At 44.2% G+C, this 20,013-nt stretch overlaps 1 protein-coding gene across 3 annotated transcripts in view, besides 1 other annotated feature; it reads left to right on the top strand.

Moving 5' to 3' along the window:
- Positions 1 to 20,013, top strand: part of ATP6V0A4 (ATPase H+ transporting V0 subunit a4) — a 91,903-nt gene that overhangs the window by 26,684 nt on the left and 45,206 nt on the right. For all 3 annotated transcript variants that reach the window (NM_130840.3, NM_020632.3, NM_130841.3), the window contains 9 exons: positions 249 to 382; positions 2,262 to 2,340; positions 2,639 to 2,733; positions 8,488 to 8,613; positions 9,079 to 9,173; positions 11,635 to 11,761; positions 14,973 to 15,055; positions 15,731 to 15,824; positions 18,676 to 18,888. In NM_130840.3, coding sequence (NP_570855.2) covers positions 266 to 382; positions 2,262 to 2,340; positions 2,639 to 2,733; positions 8,488 to 8,613; positions 9,079 to 9,173; positions 11,635 to 11,761; positions 14,973 to 15,055; positions 15,731 to 15,824; positions 18,676 to 18,888 — 1,029 coding nt within the window. In that variant the 5' untranslated portion in view covers positions 249 to 265. The remainder of the gene's footprint in view (positions 1 to 248; positions 383 to 2,261; positions 2,341 to 2,638; positions 2,734 to 8,487; positions 8,614 to 9,078; positions 9,174 to 11,634; positions 11,762 to 14,972; positions 15,056 to 15,730; positions 15,825 to 18,675; positions 18,889 to 20,013) is intronic.
- Positions 283 to 483: a silencer, noted in NCBI's record as "peak6777 fragment used in MPRA reporter construct". NCBI's record gives its function as "represses an SCP1 promoter by STARR-seq MPRAs in K562 erythroleukemia cells {active_cell/tissue: K562}" and the evidence as "EXISTENCE:reporter gene assay evidence [ECO:0000049][PMID:32103011]".

Genomic DNA, 20,013 nt, shown 5'->3' with positions numbered 1-20,013 from the left:
GGTGGATTACTTGAGCCTGGGAGGTTGAGGCTGCAGTAAGCCAGAATTGCACCACTGCATTCGAGCCCAGGCAACAGAGTGAGACCCTGTCTAAGAAAAAAAAAAAAAAAAAGTCTCCTAAAATCAGAAGTGATTCCTAATGGATTTTTTTTCCCTGTTAGATTTTAATTTAACTTAAAAATTTCACCCTAAGGTTTTCACACATTTATTACCTTAAATATTAATATCTTTTTCTTTTTCTCCTGTAGACCGAGGCTGGGCCAAGATGGTGTCTGTGTTTCGAAGCGAGGAGATGTGTTTGTCACAACTGTTTCTCCAGGTGGAAGCTGCATATTGCTGTGTGGCTGAGCTCGGAGAGCTCGGATTGGTTCAGTTCAAAGATGTAGGTACTGAGTTCTTTGGAGATAAGAGGAAGGCAGGGGTGGGAGTAGATAACTCTTGCACAACACTTCTTTATGGTGAACAATAACCATTTTGTAGGGAGAGGAGCCGTGAGCTGGAATCGATGAAATTCTGTAGTTTTAGTGCTTCTGGCTAGGATTTGTCATGACCAGGCAGGTCATTCAAGAGCGTGTTCTCCCTCCCTCCATGCCTGTCTCCTCTATAGGAATGTCTTGAAGCTCTAATGCAATCACTACTCATTAGATGTCATTGAATTTTTTTTCTCTTATGTAGCATCTTCAAACATTGTATATAGCCAATGGGCATGTAGATTACCAAACCTTATTCTGACCATAAAAACTATTTTTCCTGACTAGACAGGCTGAAGACAAAGTATTCTGGAGTCCAGAGTTGGTTGTCATACCCGGGATTGAGTTCCAGAGTGATATTCTAGAGTTAGACAGTCTTGAGTATGACATGGGGGTATCATTTCCCAGGGGCAGTTTAGACCCTCACCAAGTTCGTAGTCTAATTGAGAAAACCAGTCCTTCTTTACTTCTTCACTAAGGTCAAGGTCAGAGCTAAGCTCCTGCAGGGAAGAATCACATCTTGTTGTTCGCATCCCTAGTTCTTCACACAGGACCTCGTATGAGGCAGGTCCTCAATAACGTTTATTGAGCTGAGCTGAGAGTTGAAGTTTTGTTGATGACTGTGATACGTTACATGGAGCTGTGCAATCTTCAAGGTCTGGTCATTTTTATGACCCCATTGAGGATTTTGAGGCTCATTTGGATAGCCAAGGCAGAGAAATAAGGTAAACTTAGATGAGGACAGACTTCCTTTCCTTCCTTCCTTCCTTTCTTCCTTCCTTCCCCTCCCTCTCTTCCTTCCTTCCTTTTTTCTTTTCTTTTCCTTTCTTTTTACTTTACTTTTCTTTTTTCAGGCAGATATATGATTTTCTCCCATGCTGTGGGTTTTTTTCACTTCCTATTAAGAAAGTGAAAGGACACTGTTAAGTGTCCTTTGATGCACAAAAGTTTTAAATTTTGATTAAGTCCAATTTTTTTTGTTGTTGTTGTTTGAGACAGGGTCTTGCTCTGTAGCCCAGGCTGGAGTGCAGTGGCACAATCACGGCTCATTGTAGCCTTGACCTCCCAGGCTCAAGCCATCCTCCTACCTCAGCACACCACCACGCTCGGTTAATTTTGTAATTTTTTGTAGAGATGAGGTCTCATTATGTTGCCCAGGTTGGTCTCGAACTCCTGGGCTCAAGGGATCCACCAGCCTCGACCTCCCAAAGTGTTGGGATTACAGGCATGAGCAACTGCACCTGGCCAGGACTTTGTTTCTTTTAGAAACGAGAGGGTGAATGTTGAAGCATTTGGGGGATTGAATGTAAGAACACTAAGGTGTGTTTTGCCTGTAACTCACCTGTCTTGTGCATGGAAGTATCTGTTCCTAAGATAATTCCAGCAACATTCTCTAGTATTAAAAAGATAATAAAATGACCAAAAGGGGGCTTAGCGCAGTGCCTCACGCTTGTAATCCCAGCACTTTGAGAGGCTGAGGTGGGCGGATCACCTGAGGTCAGGAGCTTGAGGCCAGCCTGGCCAACATGGTGAAACCCCATCTCTACTACAAATACAAAAATTAGCCAGGCGTGGTGGTGGGTGCCTGTAATCCCAGTTACTTGGGAGGCTGAGGCAGAAGAATCACTTGAACCCAGGAGGTGGAGGTTACAGTGAGCTGAGATCGCGCCATTGCCCTCCAGTCTGGGTGACAAGATTAAAACTCAGTCTCAAAAAAAAAAAAAAAAAAAGAAAGAAATCTATTGGCAGCTGTTGCTACTAACATGTATCTTGTGATTTTCGCCCCCATAGTTAAATATGAATGTGAACAGCTTTCAAAGGAAATTTGTGAATGAAGTCAGAAGGTGTGAATCACTGGAGAGAATCCTCCGTAAGCCAATTTTTTTTTTTTTTTTCTTACTGTTCAAATGTGAACTGGCAAGGGGGTTAATAGTTTGCAGGACTTAATGAACAAATGTGTCCCTATTTGCAATACTTTTTGAGGTGGTCCCAGAGGCCCACCTGGAGGGAATGGGGGAGGTTGGGGGTGGGATCCAGGTGCTGTGGCAGCTCCTAGGACAATTCAGGTAGCTGAGCTGAGTGAAAGGCACATGTCTTGCTTGACCTCATTTCTTAGTTATGAGAAAACACAATCACCTTGGGGTTTCTGGTGGGTTTTCATTCTTCAGGTTTTCTGGAAGACGAGATGCAAAATGAGATTGTAGTTCAGTTGCTCGAGAAAAGCCCACTGACCCCGCTCCCACGGGAAATGATTACCCTGGAGGTAAGTTCTCCACTTTGCTGGCCTCCCCAGGTAAGGACAGTCATGAAGCCTGTCTCCTTGAAGGCCCTGAGAGCCACTTGCAGATTCCGTACCTGTTTGCTTGAAGGCAGGGAGGCAGGCCTGCATGGTCGTCTCCCTCTCAGGGTTACAGCCCCAGGAAAATCCCAGTGTGCGGTTTTTAGAGCCACACCTGCTGATCTGGAGACAGCTGTTTTCCTTTCTCAGCATAGCCCTCGGGAAGCTTAGCCCACTTTGAGGAGTTGATTGCTTTTGTGGGTGTTTGATTCTTACAGGCAGTGTGGTCTTGTCTGCTGGGTGCCACTGAATGGGCTGAGTGTGGGCATAATGGGATGTTTTCTAATTCTCTGGTGGGAAGCAGCTGATGAGTTGGACTCACTCCAGATGGAAGCTGCTTCTCTGACTGGCTTCTGTAGGTCAACTGGGAGAAGACTGCAGTTTTCAAGGACATTTCAGCTGGTGGGGCTCTCCCTCTTTCCTTTCCTTGTCTATTTCCTTCCCCTTCAGTCTTTTATAAAACACTGAATACCAGCTGGGCGCAGTGGCTCACCCCTGTAATCCCACCACTTTGGGAGGCCGAGGCAGGCGGATCACGAAGTCAGGAATTCGAGACCAGCCTGGCCAACATGGTGAAACCCTGTCTCTACTAAATATACAAAAATTAGCCGGGGGTGGTGGTAGGTGCCTGTAATCCCAGCTACTTGGGAGGCTGAGGCACGAGAATCGCTTGAATCCGGGACGCAGAGGTTGCATTGAGCTGAGATTGTGCCACTGCACTCCAGCCTGGGCGACAGAGCAAGACTCCATCTCAAAAACAAACAAACAAACAAACAAAAAAACCACTGAATACCTGCCACGTGCAAGGTAGCTTAGAAATAAACATGACTGTGCCCTCCAAGGGCTTATAGAGCAGATGGTGGGGACAGGGATGAGGGGCAGGGCTGGGAGAGGAAGTGAAGAGGTAGGCAGAGCCAGATCATGGAGGACCCTGGGGGACTTAACTGAAAAAGCAGGTATTTTATCCTCGGCAGTGGAACAGCTCATTCAGGGCGTGGGCAGGTAGGCAAGGCTTCACCTAGCTGAGCCTTTTCTCTGGCTGGGTTTTTTTTTTTTTTTTGAAGATAACTTCAAATTCTTGAAAATTTCAAAGCCATGAGTAGTATAAATCTTGATACTCACATAGAAATATTAGATTGTCAAATCTTCTAGAAAATATTTTGGACCTTATCATATTTTTTTGAGATGGAGTCTTGCTCTGTTGCCCAGGCTGGAGTGCAGTGGTGTGATCTCGGCTCACTGCAACCTCTGCCTCCCAGGCTCAAGCGATTCTCCTGCCTTAGCCTCCCAAGTAGCTGGGATTACAGGCATGCGCCACCACGCCCAGCTAATTTTTGTATTTTTAGTAGAGACAGGGTTTCACCATGTTGTCCAGGCTGGTCTCGAACTCCTGACCTCAGGTGATCCGCCCACCTTGGCCTCCCAAAGTGCTGGGATTACAGGCGTGAGCCACCTCGCCTGGCCTGTTTATTGATTTTTGACTGTATTACAAATTAAAATGGAAAAGTATGTAAAATATTTATGTATTAATTCACTTGAAAATAACAATAATGTCTCATTACATGGTAACATTTTTTAAGTGAAAAATGACTGTCTTTTCCAAGACAAAAACACTTTCATGAGAAGGATGGCATTGTTTGTGAATTTTTAAAGTGCTTGGCTAATAGAAACAGCTGGTTTCTCACACCTGCTTCTACTTTAAATCTGTTGGTGATGTGCTGTTTTTATTGAAGGAGAGGAAGATAATCCAGCCTTACACAGATAAGCAGTGGGAAAAGGGAGGAATATTTTAATAGCCTTTTCAAATAATTATGGATATTCTTCTTTGATATTACACTGAAACTTGACCAGCATAGAGCCTGTCTTGATTTTGTTAAACAGGTAACATGTGCTGCTTTTGTTTTCAAACTGAGTTGGCTGTAGTACCTTAATAAAGGAATTCATCCAACTGGGTTTAGTTTTGGCTGACTTCAACCATGCCAAGGCACACACATTTTCAAGTTTAACCATTTTAAGTTTAAAAGATTCAATCTTGACTGATATTAATAAGCTTTTCTGGGTGGGGGGAGCTAAAATTTGAGTGGATAGCCCTTTTTATTTTTGGGGGAAATTTATTGTTTTGGGCTATATCGTTTATCTTTTATCTCTTTGGTAAGGGTGTCTCTTAGATGGATTAAAAAAAAAATGTCTAGCATGATAGGCCAGGCGCAGTGGCTTACGCCTGTAATCCCAGCACTTTGGGAAGCCAAGGCGGGTGTATTGCTTGAGGTCAGGAGTTCGAGACCAGCCTGACTAACATGGTGAAACCCCATCTCTACTGAAAATACAAAAATATTAGCCAGGCGTGGGTGGCGCATGCCTGTAATCCCAGCTACTCTAGAAGCTGAGGCAGGAGAATTGTTTGACCCCAGGAGAGGGAGGTTGCAGGGAACCGAGATCGCACTACTGCACTCCAGCGTGGGTGACAGAGCAAGACTGTGTTTCCAAAAAAAAAAAAAAAATAATAATAACATGATATTTTAAGGTGTTAAAGCTCTACATTCATACATTTGTAGGAATAGATAAGGGGCAATCAGATGTGTGCACAAGTCCTTCCTTAGAGTTTTTCTTCTGAATGTTATTTGCTGTAAAAATGAAATTAAAACAGCACCAGGGCTGGCCATGGTGGCTCATGCCTGTAATCCCAGCACTTTGGGAGGCCAAGGCAGGAGGATTGCTTGAGCTCAGGGGTTTGAGACCAGTCTGCCCAACATAATGAGACTCTGTCTCTACAAGAAAATAAAAATAATCAGCTGGGTGTGGTGGTGTGCACCTGTGGTCCCAGCTACTTGGGAGGCTAAGGCAGGAGAGTGGCTACCAGAAGGTGGAGGCTGTGGTAAGCTGTGTTCACACCACTGCACCCTAGCCTGGGCAACAGAGTGAGACCTTCTCTCAAAAACAAAAACAAAAACAAAAACAAAAACAAAAACCACCAGCATAAAAGTAGGAGAGTAATATCTTTTACCATTCATTGCTCACTGGAATTGATTTGTTGATTGATTGATTTGACTAATCCTGCAGTTAGCTGTGTTCCCCCAACATTGCTAGAGAGTTGAATCCTTTGGCAAGAGTACACCAATGGCTCTGGGCCCCTGCCTTGTCGAGTTTCTAAAGAGGCTTTTATAACAGTCCTAGAGGAAATACTAATTCAGGGGGGAGGGAAAAAACCACCATCCCCTCAGAAACTGCCCTGGCTTTTCCTTGTTTTCAGGCTTTATTCTCATGCAGCTATACTTTTACATAATTATATATCCATTGTGTATAGTAATAGCAGCATTATTTTTATGGCATCCTTAAGTGGATAGAGGAAATGATTGGGAAATGAAGATTTACTTTTCCCCCCAACTTTGTGTCATTATATTCAGTGTTCAAAATTCAGGGTAATGGCTTTCTCTGAGACGGGAGGTAATGGAGTGGAACTGAAGCTGGATGATGGGCGGATAGGATTCACGCTGCTTGTGTGTGTTTGAAATTTTCCATAGTAATTCAATTTTGTCTAATACTAAGCATTTCAGGGAGAGCTAACATTTACAGGATTATCATTTTTTATTGTTTAAAAAAAATCTCTTTGTGCCAGGCGCAGTGGCTCACGGCTGTAATCCCAGCACTTTGGGAGGCCGAGGTGGGTGGATCACTTGAGGTCAGGAGTTTGAGACTAGCCTGGCCAACATGGTGAAACCCCATCTCTACTAAAAATACAAAAAAATTAGCCGGGCCTGGTGGCACACGCCTGTAATCCCAGCTACTTGGGAGGCTGAGGCAAGAGAATCACTTGAACCCGAGAGGTGGAGTTTGCAGTGAGCCAAGATCATGCCACTGCACTCCAGCCTGGGCGACAGAGTGAGACTTTGTCTTAAAAACAAAAACAAAAACAAAAACTCTGTTAACAGTGTCTTTTAGATGGATTAAAAACTAGCATGATAATCTCTTCTTTAATAGGTGACCTTAATCCATTTCCGTTTATTGTGATTTCTGATTCACTGGCTTTTTCAGTTATTATTCCTTTTGTTTTTTACTTCCCTTCCCTTTCCTGTCTTTCTGTAATACCTGCCAACCCTTCCCCACTACTGATTGGTGTGCAAGCTACAGATGACAGTTACACTTAACACTTCAAGGCACATATTCACTAAATTTTTCTCATAATATTTGCTACTGGTTCAATTATCACCCCTTTGTGGATATATGTCCTTTTTTTCCCTGATAGCCTTTAAAGTTTTATCTTTGTTCTATAGTTTCACTCCTGTCTGTTTCAGTGTGGATTTGTTATTGTTTTTGTTAAACATTAAATTGCATTAGTAGAATTTTTATAAAACATGTAAGGTATAAAAAGTAAGGATCAGCACACACCATGTGTCTGTCGCCCTGTGTAAGATAACGGTACCCACAGGGGCATTCAAAAAACCTGTGTGCCCCTCCTCACCCCTCCTCCATCTCCTTTCCCCTCTTCCCTTCGAGATCATCATTATCCTAACTTCTGTATTTTTCTTTATTTTTTCATAGTTTTATTACATATTTATTTTTCTAAATAACATATGGTATAGCTTTACATGTTAAAAAATTTTCTCTAAATGGAACTATATTGTTTATTCTTCTGCAACTTGCTATTTCATCAATTTCATATATATTATATACATATACATATATACATACGTGTGTGTGTGTATATATATACATATATATATATATATATTTTTTTTTTGAGACAGAGTCTGAAAAAAAGCTTTGTCTCCCAGGTGGGAGTGCAGTGGTGCGACCTCTGCTCACTGTAACCTCTGCCTCCCGGATTCAAGCGAATCTCCTGCCTCAGCCTCCAGAGTTTTGCCCGGCTAATTTCTGTATTTTTAGTAGAAACAGGGTTTCACCATGTTGGCCAGGCTGGTCTTGAACTCCTGACTTCAAGTGATCCACTTGCCTCAGCCTCCCAAAGTGCTGGGATTACAGGATGAGCCACCGTGCCTGGCCCATCATTTTCTATTTTAAGACTCCATATTGTTTAATGTTTCTGAAGTTATTTTTATTGTTATTTATTTATTTTTTTGAAATGGAGTCTTGCTCTGTCGCCCAGGCTAGAGTGCAGTGGCACGATCTCGGCTCACCACAGCTTCTGCCTCCCGGGTTCAAATAACTCTCCTGCCTCGGCCTCCTGGGTAGCTGGGATTACAGGTGTGTGCCACCATTCCTGGCTAATTTTTCTATTTTTAGTAGAGATGGGGTTTCACCACATTAACCAGGCTGGTCTTGAACGCTTGACCTCAAGTGATCTGCACATCTCGGCCTCCCAAAGTGCTGGGATTACAGGCATGAGCCACCGCACCCAGCCTGGCCTAGTGTTTTAAACGAGAGGAGGCATGATTTGCCAAAATGTCTTAACTTCTCCATGAAGTGGCCATCCACTCCTCCAAGTACTTCCTAATCCTCTCGTTTGGTGATGGAACTCTTAAGAGAGCATGCACGTGTGTGTGTGTGTGTGTGTGTGTGTCTGTGTGTGTCTGTGTGTGTCTGTGTGTATGTGTATTAGGGTCTGCAATCATGTTATGTGCTGATTCCTTTGATTTTTTTTAGTCATCTGTTGTGGGTAATGTATTTCAGGAATGTCATAGCACTTTCTGTTGGCTTACCTTCTTTTTCCTTCCTGCATAGACTGTTCTAGAAAAACTGGAAGGAGAGTTACAGGAAGCCAACCAGAACCAGCAGGCCTTGAAACAAAGCTTCCTAGAACTGACAGAACTGAAATACCTCCTGAAGAAAACCCAAGACTTCTTTGAGGTGGTCACGTGGGGATGAGTTACTAAAGGGCCCGTTCCTCAGAACCTCAAATTTCCATTTTGGAAACTGGCTGGCCTGGGATCTGAGTAAATCACTCTGTTTCTGTTCCATGGCTAGGCCATTGGTGAGGGCGGGGGAGTATTTTGGGTGGAATAATTGTAGTGCTGGTTGGATTGAAGGGAAAAATATTATGGTGCTCAGTAAAATGTATGTGCTGAAAATGGCTCAGGCAGAAAGAGAAGTCAGAACCAAGCACAGCAGTTGGTTTGAGAAGTTTTAGGGTTTTGGTAGGAAAAGACCAGGGAAGCTTTTTGATCTGGCCAGGAGCACTCTGTTTTCTGACTTCTGTTAACTTTTTGTGGAAAATTAAAGCTTCACTAAAACCAGAGAAAATCTTGAGGTGTAGGTGCCTTTTGAGTTTCCCTAAATATATTTAAATGAAAATCATAGTGCTTTGACTTTCAGACGGAAACCAATTTAGCTGATGATTTCTTTACTGAGGACACTTCTGGCCTCCTGGAGTTGAAAGCAGTGCCTGCATATATGACCGGAAAGTTGGGGTTAGTGTAATTCTTGTGTGTAGATGGGTCCCTGGTCCTGGCGAGTGATTTCTGAGTGAGTGAATGAACGGGTGAACAAATAGCCATTGGAATGGGGACTGTTTCCCATGGATGCAAAGCCTCTGCCAAGCGATAGACCCATATGTAACTTACTAGGTTGGTGGAGTCGGAAGTGGTGTCAGCTTCTTGTTAGTGGCGATGCTGACCTCCTTGAGCCTGAAGACTGCAATGTTTATATTGCTCCCCCATTGGAAGCTGTGGGGATCATTGTTCAGATGGGTTATCACAACTCTTCCCTGGCGTTGGAACAAGGCTATGGGGACTTATGTTTTTCCTTTCTCTTTAAAATACTATTTTGGGAGCCGGGCGTGGTGGCTCACACCTGTAATCCCAGTACTTTGGGAGGCTGAGGTGGGTGGATCACTTGAGGTCAGGAGTTTGAAACCAGCCTGGGCAACATAGTGAAACCCCAATCTCTACTAAAAATACAAAATTAGTCAGGCATGGTCGCACGTGCCTGTAATACCAGTTACTTAGGAAGTTGAGGCAGGAGAATCGCTTGAACCCTGGAGGTAGAGGTTGCAGTGAGCCAAGATCGTGCCACTGCACTCTAGCCTGGGCGACAGAGCAAGACTCCAGCTCAAGAAAATAAAATAAAATATTACTTTGATAATAAAATGCATTTGGAGTTTGAATTTTTTTTTTTTTTGAAACAGAGTCTTGCTCTGTCGTCCAGGCTGGAGTGCAGTGGCCTGATCTCGACTTACTGCAAACTCCGCCTCCCAGGTTCACGCCATTCTCCTGCCTCAGCCGAGTAGCTGGGACTACAGGCGTCTGCCACCACACCCGGCTAATTTTTTTGTGTTTTTGGTAGAGACGGGGTTTCACCGTGTTAGGCAGGATGGTCTCGATCTCCTGACCTCGTGATCCGCCTGCCTTGGCCTCCCAAAGTGTTGGGATTACAGGTGTGATCCACCGCACCTGGCCTGAATTTGTGTGTTTTTTTTTGACACGGGCTCTCACTCTGTTGCCCAGGCTGGAGTGCAGAGGTGCAATCATAGCTCACTGCAGCCTTGACCTCTCAGGCTCAAGTGATCTTCCTACCTCTGCCTCGCGAGTAGCTGGACCACAGGCACAATGCCAGGCTAATTTTTAAAAAATTTTTTAGTAGAGACAAGGCCTCACTGTGTTGCCCGGGATACATTTTTAAATGTAATTAGAAATGGGGGTCAGATGTGGTGGCTTATGCCTATAATCCCAGCACTTTGGGAAGCTGAGGCAGGAGGATCACTTGAGGCCAGGAGTTTGAGATCAGCCTGAGCAACATAGCAAGACTCTGTGTCTACAAAAAAAAAAATTTTAATAAAAAAAAGAAATGGGATAGTTATGCAATCAAGTTATTTCCAAGAAGCAGTGATATGATGTGTCGTAGCCATGAAAATAATGTGGTGATTCAAAATGGTAGGATTTTGTTCAGTGCCTAAGTGAAATTGAGGCATTTTAAAGCATTTCTGAAAATTGTGAGTTTGGGATTTATGATTTTTTATTCAATAAATATTTGAGGGCCTGATATTTGAGGCACTAGGCATTGAATTTGAAATGAAAATAAAAATATTTATTGGAAATATTTGATCAGAAAGTAATACAGGATCAATGAACATTTAAAGTAATAAGCCAGTGAAAGTCACTGGCTAACATGAGAAGTTTGGGTCAGCAGTTATCTACATGCTTGGATAATGGAAAAAACAGATATATATAGACATCAATGTATTTTTCCCTCTTAGTATTAAAATATTTTTGGAAAAATGCATAGAGACTACTGTTGAATATTTGCTATCATTAGCTACAATGCATGATGAATGGTCTATCATATTCTTTTTTTTTTTTTTTTTTTTGAGACAGAGTTTCACCCTTCTCTGCCCAGGCTGGAGTGCAATGGCACATTCTTGGCTCACTGCAACCTCCGCCTCCCAGGTTCAAGTGATTTTCCTACCTCAGCCTCCTGAGTAGCTGGGACTATAGGTGCACGCCACCAGGTGTGGCTAATTTTGTATTTTTAGTAGAGATGGGGTTTCAGCATGTTGGCCAGGCTGGTCTCGAACTCCTGACCTCAGGTGATCCGCCCGCCTCAGCCTCCCAAAGTGCTGGGATTACAGGTGTGAGCCACGGCGCCTGGCCATTCTATCATATTCTTAATTGCAATTAGTGACGATATAGTATTGGAATGATTAAGGATATTTCAAGATACCAAAGAAAACAGAAGGTCAAAGGGACTTGGGGCAAGTCAGGGCTGGATGCGGGGTGGCCTTGGGACTCATGTCGGTAGAGCTGTGTCGGGGTCCCTCCTGCTCACAGAGTGAATGGCCCTTCCTTTCATGGTGTGTCTTCACGTCCTACAGGGCCTTCTCTCTGCATCCCAATCCCTGTGCCTTAAGGAATGTCTTCCCTTCTGGCTGCCTAGGTTCATAGCCGGTGTGATCAACAGGGAGAGGATGGCTTCCTTTGAGCGGTTACTGTGGCGAATCTGCCGAGGAAACGTGTACTTGAAGTTCAGTGAGATGGACGCCCCTCTGGAGGATCCTGTGACGGTGGGAACCTTGGGCTGCAAAAACTTTCTCTGAGACTTCCCATAGCCCTCAGCAGAAGCGCTTCGTTCTCCCAAAACATGGGGGATCTTTAGTTTGATGAGACTAATATCTATTTCCTTTTTTTCTCCTTTTTTTCCTTCCCTTTTACTTTGTTCCTTTTTAAAAATATATATTTGAAAGGTCAGTTCAAGGACTGATTCTTGTCAACACCTCATAACTGGTTTATTCTTCCCAGAGACATAGCTATACTTTTCTCTAGAACTTAGTTATACTAGTACTATCCTAGGCGGCAGCTGTGTCTTAAAGAACTGAGAACTGATTGAGGTCAGCTTCTCAAGCTTCAATGTGCACGCGAGCATAGAGGTCACCCGGGGATCTTGTTAAAATGCAAATTCCAGGCCAGGCATGGTGGCTTATGCCTGTAATCTCAGCGCTTTGGGAGCCCAAGGTGGGAGGATCGTTTGAGGTCAGGGGATTGAGACCAGCCTGGGCAACATAGCAAGAAAACATCTCTACAAAAAAAAGTTAACCAAGTGTGGTGGCACACACCGGTAGTCCCAGCTACTTAGGAGGCTGAGGTGGGAGGACAACTTGAGCCCAGGAGGTCAAGGCTGCAGTGAGCTATGATCACACCACTGCACTCCAGCCTAGGGAACAGAGTGAGACCCTATCTCAAAAAAAAAAAAAAAAAAAAAAAAATAGGCTGGGCATGGTGGCTCATGCCTGTAATCCCAGCACTTTGGGAGGCCGAGGTGGGCGGATCACCTGAGGTCAGGAATTTGAGACCATCCTGGCCAACATGGTGAAACTCTGTCTCTACTAAAAATAAAAAAATTAGCCAGGAGTGGTGGCGCACACCTGTAGTGCCAGCTACTTGCGAGGCTGAGGCAGGAGAATCACTGGTACCCAAGAGGCGGAGGTTGCAGTGAGCTGAGATTGTGCCACTGCACTCCAGCCTGGGTGACAGAGCAAGACTCCCTCAAAAAAAAAAAAAAAAAAAAAAAAAAAAAAATTCTGAGTCAGTGGGTCTGAGTGGGGCCTGAGATTCCGCAGTTCTTACAACTCCCAGAGAATGCTGATGATGTATTTGCCAATAGATCCCACACTTCAAACAACAAGGCTTCAAGGGGGCTCAGCCCTTAGTGCCATACAGTTGTTGCTGTGAATTCTGTCGGATGTTGCTGTCTCACCTTCCAGTTTGTATTTAATCCACTTACCCTTTAATTCCCAGAAGCTAGGCTTATTTCTGAGCGTCTATAATCTTTTTCAGATTAGAGGCTAAAAAAATTAATTTTAATGAAAAAACAACAAAATTCATTTTGATGAAAAACAACTTTAAAATAAGTGAAATTTAAAATAAGAAAGATTATGAAAAAAATGAGAAACCCCATCACTCTAATGTCTTCATTTGTATTTTGCCTCTTGTACTATTTCTCTCTATAGCCGTAGACAGGTATAATTTTATATGATTGTAGTATACATGGAAATAATTTTTTTCTTTTCTTTGTTTTACCTAATATGAGATCCCTCCCCATATTACTGTGCATCCTTCGTAAAGATCATTTTTAAATTTGACATTAAATCATCACTTTTTATAATCCTGTTTTGACATATGACAGTCATAGTGGGAGAGAAAGTAAAAGCATCTGGAAAAAGATGAGCGTGGACGCCGAAGGTCACCAAAGGGAAGTCATGAGATTAGAGCAGATTCCTGATTCTGGTGGATCAGGAGAAAAGAAAATTTAAGAGACTCAGAAAAGGACCAGGGTAGACTCCACGGGTAGAGAAACCTTTTGGAAATAATGTAACGCAGCAGCTCTGAAAATCCTAAAACACCGCCACTTGCTCCCGTAAGGAAATGCCAAAGACAGGATTCATTTTGATAGTATTTTTAAGGAATATCTATTGTGTCCACTGAGTTGACGTGACGTTGACTATCTATTTTGGACACTTTATTTCTAATTTTTCTCCAGAATGTAGACACCATGATGAGCATCTTTATGCATGTGGATTTTTATTTGCTTTTGAATTACTTTCATAATAAACAAGTTCAAGAAAAATAGGATTGCTGGCTTAAAGGGTGCGGGCATTTTAATGACACCCGATAGGTCCCGACAAATGGCCTTTCAGTGACTTTTCTGATTCCAGTGCCTCGAGTAGTATGTGATGAGTCTATTGGATTTGTCATAACTTTTCCAACAATAGTTTTTGTTTTTGTTTTTTGGGGTTTTTTTTTGAGACAGGGTCTCACTCTGCCACCCAGGCTGGAGTGCAGTAGTATGATCATGACTCACTGCAGCCTCGACTTCCTGGGCTCAAACAATCCTCCCACCTCAGCCTTCCTGGTAGCTGGGACCACAGGTGAGCACCACCACACTCAGCTAATTCTTGTATTTTTTGTAGAGATGGGGTTTTACCATGTTGCCCAGGCTGGTCTTGAACCCCTGGGCTCAAGCCATCCACCCGCCTTAGCCTCCCAAAGTGCTGGGATTACAGGTGTGAGCTACTGCACCCGGTCTGGGTTTTGTCATTTTACCTTTACCCCCTCAAACTAAATAAGATTGGAAGAATGCATTGTTTCAGCTCATATTTCTTTGCTTACAGTAAGAGTTAAACATTTGCATGTCTGCTTGTGGAACACATCTTCCTTTCTTGTGAATTGTCCAACTTGGACTTGACAAGTGTGATTTAAGCAGCAGTCTTATGGCACACAAGCAACTGTGAGTCAAAAAATCTGAGCAACTGTATGTATGAGTCAAAAATTGGGCATGGCTTTACCTTTGTTAAATATAAAACACCTACTCATCCCCAAAATGTCGGTGTTGTGTGTTAATTAACTCTGGTGAGCCAGTTTATCAGCCAGCTGTCTTCGTTTTAAGCCTTGCAATATTCTCTTCTGAATGGTTTCTTGTTTATTATCATATCTCTTAAATGTGGGGCTTAGAGCTGAATATAAGGTCTGGCTGTGGTCCAACCAGCATCGGGAACAGGGAGCCTGTCACCTTAAGGCTGCATTAGCCTCTGTGAGGTCCTGGATGGCCTTGCTCTCAACTGTGAGCTATGAACTTAGATGAACTAGGAAAGTTACAGTTTCCCAGTTTTAAATGTATGAATTGTGTAAGCCTAAAAACAGGACTTTACATTTCTCTCTATTATGTTTTAACCAGAAAGAAACCCCCCCCTTTTTTTTTAACTTATTCTGATTTTCCAGAAAGAAGAAATTCAGAAGAACATATTCATCATATTTTACCAAGGAGAGCAGCTCAGGCAGAAAATCAAGAAGATCTGTGATGGGTAAGAGGGAGTGAATGGCTCTTTCTTCAGTGATTTGGGCCAGGATTAGATAAAGAGATGTGCAATGCCAAATGCACATGACTGTGGCTTCTAGAGGTCAGTAAGGCTTTAGAATAACTTTCTCACATAAAAGTCAGCCCCAACTGATTTTTAATAGTTGTAAGAATATGAATAGGGAGAACTTGAATATGCAAAATGTGAGGGTAACTAAAAGTGGACATGTTCCCCATTTCAGTCTATTCCATCTGAGACTTTTCATCAGCTGCTCCAGAGTAATCCAACTGCATGGCTAACTTGTTTTGGATTTTACAGAATCGTGTTACATGTAGCTCCATAGAAGCAGAAATGACTCAGTGCAGAGGATATTAATACATTAATAGATTCTTAGGAAGGGGCAAGCCCAGCTTGCAGTCTTATTTACCCAGCAACTCACAGGTTTTATGGTTTGAATGAAGCTCATTCATATAACAGAACTGCAGCCTCAATTCACAGCACAAGTGACGTACTGGGAACCCTTATGACTGGGACTCCTTTTCCAGTGGCCAAAGACGCAGTTATTCTAGGATAGGCTGGCCATCTAACTAAAGTCAGCAAACGATGTCTTAGCAGAAAAGGGGATGCAGAATGCTTTGCAGCAAGAACTCACCTGTTTCCTTTGGAATATATTAAACACAGGTTTCGAGCCACTGTCTACCCTTGCCCAGAGCCTGCGGTGGAGCGCAGAGAGATGTTGGAGAGCGTCAATGTGAGGCTGGAAGATTTAATCACCGTGAGTGAGGGGTTTGGGCGCATGGTCTGATGGCAGCTGCAGGAGGGCTGCCTCTGCTGTTTTCATACAAGCCCTGCCCCCCAGGGCCCTTGCTGGGAGGCTGGCTGGAATGCTGGCTATGCCTTTCTGGTTGTGGCTGTGGAAGATTTCACAATTGGGAAACTGTTCGATAAGCTAGAGGGAACGAAGCTGTGTCTTAAGAATGCTTTGCCCAGGGTCAGATTTGACCACAGCCCTAGTCAGCCTTCAGGTGGCCACCCCGATCTGATAAAAGGCACCCTTTATTGCCAGCCTCGGCCTAGACGGAATCTATGATACAACCACCCAGCCAATTAAGTTGAACAACCAGTTTGACTGATTATTTTCCCACTGAATTGCCTGGTTGTTTAAGCTGATGGGTTAATTCTGTAAAAACAGTGAGTCTAGTTTCACCATGTGAACATTCATTCATCCCAAACTCATTTTCTTTGTAAAGTCTGTCACCATCCAGGGTCACTCAACACACTTATGATCAGAAATCTTTCTTCAATCACAGCAGCTTTGAAAGTAATCACTGAAAACAGCTGGGCCTCCCTCGCTGGCAGACTCTCATCAGTGCTAGAGTTCGATAGAACTTTCGGTTATGATAGAAGGTTCATGTGTCCTGTGCTGTCCAACACTGTAGTCACGAGCCACATGTGGCTATTGAGCCCTTGAAACATGGCTAGTGCCACTAAGTCATTTAGTTTGTATTTTTAATTTTAATTCAATTTAAATTTTAGGGCTGGGTGCGGTGGCTCATGCCTATAATCCCAGCACTTTGGGAAGCTGAGGTGGGTGGATCACTTGAGGTCAGGAGTTCAAGACCAGCCTGACCAAACTGGTGAAACCCCATCTCTACTAAAAATACAAACACTAGTCAGGCGTGGTGGCAGTCACCTGTAGTCTAGTCTCAGCTACTCGGGAGGCTGAGGCAGGAGAATCGTTTGAACCTGAGAGGCAAAGGTTTCAGGGAGCCGAGATCGCGCCACTGCACTCCAGCCTGGGCAACAAAGCGAGACTCCATCTCAAAATAAAATAAAAGGAAATAAAATACATAAAATTTAGTAGCTGCATGTGGCTGTGGTAGAAGTCAACTCAGTTTTAGATTCTGGACAAGTATGTTAAGAAATTAGATATGTGCCTCTTTCAAAACCCTTAGGCTAGCAGACAACTTTACTTTTCCAGAAAACCTGTGTTTAATTTTTTTTTTTTTTTTTTTGAGATGGAGTTTTGCTCTTGTTGCCCAGGCTGGAGTGCAGTGGCGCAATCTCGGCTCACCGCAACCTCCGCCTCCCGGGTTCAAGTGATTCTCCTGCCTCAGCCTTCCGAGTAGCTGGGATTACAGGCATGCGCCACCATGCCTGGCTAATTTTGTATTTTTAGTAGAGATGGGGTTTCTCCATGTCGGTCAGGCTGGTCTCGAACTCCCGACCTCAGGTGATCCACCCACCTCATCCTCCCAAAGTGCTGGGATTACAGGCGTGAGCCACTGCGCCTGGCCTGTGTTTAATTTTTTAATCCTCTCCATTACTTCTTTGTCACTTGTCAGGAACACTGTTTCCCCAAAGCCATTGAAGTCCTTTCCCCCCAATTCTCCATGCTTGATTTTATGAAAACGTCATGAGGAGAATGGAAAATAAATTCTGCTAGATGTGTGCTTACATTTAGTATGACGGGTTGCTGCTGTGTCGAGGGCTTCAGATGATCCCAGCTGAGCAGCTTCTGCAGGGGCAGCTTTCTCCTTTGGCTCAGTCCCTGCCAAAGATGAATCTTAGACACTGTCTGATGCTGAGGCATATAATTCGGGCTATGCTCTTTGAGGTTTCTGAAAGTCACCTCTGTGCTGAGGTGCTCTTGTCTCCTGGAAATCCCCAGGCCAGGGGGCATTATATTGCAAAGTGACAGGTAGTATTGGGCTTGTGAGATGCTTCGGTGGCCTCATGGCTCTCGTTAATCTTAGAGCCAGCATGTCTGTCTTACAGTGTGTCTCTTACAGAGGCCATGTGTGCTGAAAAAGATTACCCTGTTTGTTGTATCATCAAAACATAAAAATGATTCCATTAAATAAATTCTGTGTGGGCCCAATTGTCCATTCATTCCTTCATTCATTCACTTGTCATTTATTGGAGGGATTATGTATGTAAAGGGTTGTGGTAGATGTAGTAATCTCTTAGGGTTGCTGTAACAAATTACAGCAAACTGGGTGGCATAAGACAATAAAGATTTATTCTGTCATGGTTCTGGAGGCCAGAGGTCTGAAATCAAGGCGTCAGCAGGGCCGTGCTCCCTCGGAAGACCTGAAGGGAGCCCCCTCCTTGCCTCTCCCCAGCTCTGGTGCTGCGGGCCGTCCTCCGCATTCCTTGGCTTGCAAGTGCCTACTTCTCTGCCTCTGTTGTCACGTGGTATTCTTCCCTGTGTGCCTCTGTGTCTACGTTTCTTATCAGGACAGTGGTCATATGGGATTAGAGCCCATTCAAATCCAGTATGACCTCTTCTTAACCTGATTCCATCTGCAAAGACCCTCTTTCCAAAAAGGCCATATTCACAGGTATCAGAGTTCAGGACTCTTTTATGTGGACAATTCAACCCATAACAATAGGACAATGAGGAATTTAGAAGAAAAGGAAGATACAATCTCTGCCTAAGGGTTTTAGCCTCTAGCGGGGGAGATAAACTGCTCAGGAGAGTTCAAGGCCAGGTGACAGCCACAGGTCAAAGGAGCCTGCCAGAGCAGAGGAAGCTGCTGTGGCCTGTGACACTCCATTTTTGGCACCTTGTCAAACAGCTCTGTGAAGGTTCTCTGTTTTCCTGTGTGTTGTTTTTTGTATAGGTCATAACACAAACAGAGTCTCACCGCCAGCGCCTGCTGCAGGAAGCCGCTGCCAACTGGCACTCCTGGCTCATCAAGGTGCAGAAGATGAAAGCTGTCTACCACATCCTGAACATGTGCAACATCGACGTCACCCAGCAGTGTGTCATCGCCGAGATCTGGTTCCCGGTGGCAGATGCCACACGTATCAAGAGGGCACTGGAGCAAGGCATGGTGCGTGGCAGGTGGAGCCAGGAGGGGTCCGATGAGTCAGCCCCTCTGCTGGGCTCTCAGAGGGTGTTGGCCTCATGGGCCACATGAACTCAAGTGACTTGGTGGTAGGATTGCTTCCTTCATCTTTGTGTCTTCAGTTATCAACCCCACTCGAGGACATAAAAGAAATTCCTTTGTCTTTTCAGTGTTTGACAGTTGTTCACCATTTTTTGACCTTTTGTGAGTACGTATTGAGGTTTTTTTAAAAAAAAAAAAAAAATAGAATCTCGCTCTGTAGCCCAGGCTGTTGTGCAGTGGCACAGTCTCGGCTCACTGCAACCTCTGCCTCCCGGGTTCAAGTGATTCTCCTGCCTCAGCCTCCCGAGTAGCTGGGATTACAGGTGCGCCCTACCACGTCCAGCAAATTTTTGTATTTTTAGTAGAGACGGGGTTTCACCATGTTGGCTGGGCTGCTCTTAAACTCCTGACCTCAGGTGATTCGCCTGCCTCAACCTCCCAAAGTGCTGACATTACAGGTGTGAGACATCACACCCGGCCATACTGAGCATTAATGTGCCAGTCTCTCAGCTAGACTATCGTTTTGGGGGGATTTTGTCTTTTTTTTCTTATTAAAGATGGGGACCTCGCTATGACACCCAGGCTGGAGTGCAGGGCTGTTCACAGGCATGGGCATACTGCCCTACAGCCTCAAACTCCTGGGCTCAGGTGATCCTCCCATCTCAGCCTCCCAAGTGGCTAGGACTACAGGCACGCGCCACCATGCCCAGCTCCACTCTGCTAGACTGTAGATACCACCTGTTACCTCATGGAGGTTATAGTCTAGCTAGAAAGATGAATAACCAAGCATCTATAATAAGAGCCAAAATATGTAGATCGCTTGCGGTGTGTCCGAGATGGCTAAGCACTCTGTCCTCGTTGAGTTCTCACCGCTCCCTCCATTCATTCCTTAGACATTCCCTGTGTACTAGGAACGGATCTAGGGCTTACACACTGGCAGGCCAAGACCCTGCTTTGATAGACATTCTAGAAAGGGACACGGAGGCATGTCCGTGACTAATGAGATTTCAGGCAGTGATGAGTGGTGGGCAGGAAACCAAGCAGGGGACGGCGAGGGGCAGGATGGAG

Source organism: Homo sapiens, chromosome 7 (assembly GCF_000001405.40).
Source record: "Homo sapiens chromosome 7, GRCh38.p14 Primary Assembly".
NCBI lineage: Eukaryota > Metazoa > Chordata > Mammalia > Primates > Hominidae > Homo > Homo sapiens.
This window is presented reverse-complemented; position numbering and strand designations above follow the sequence as displayed.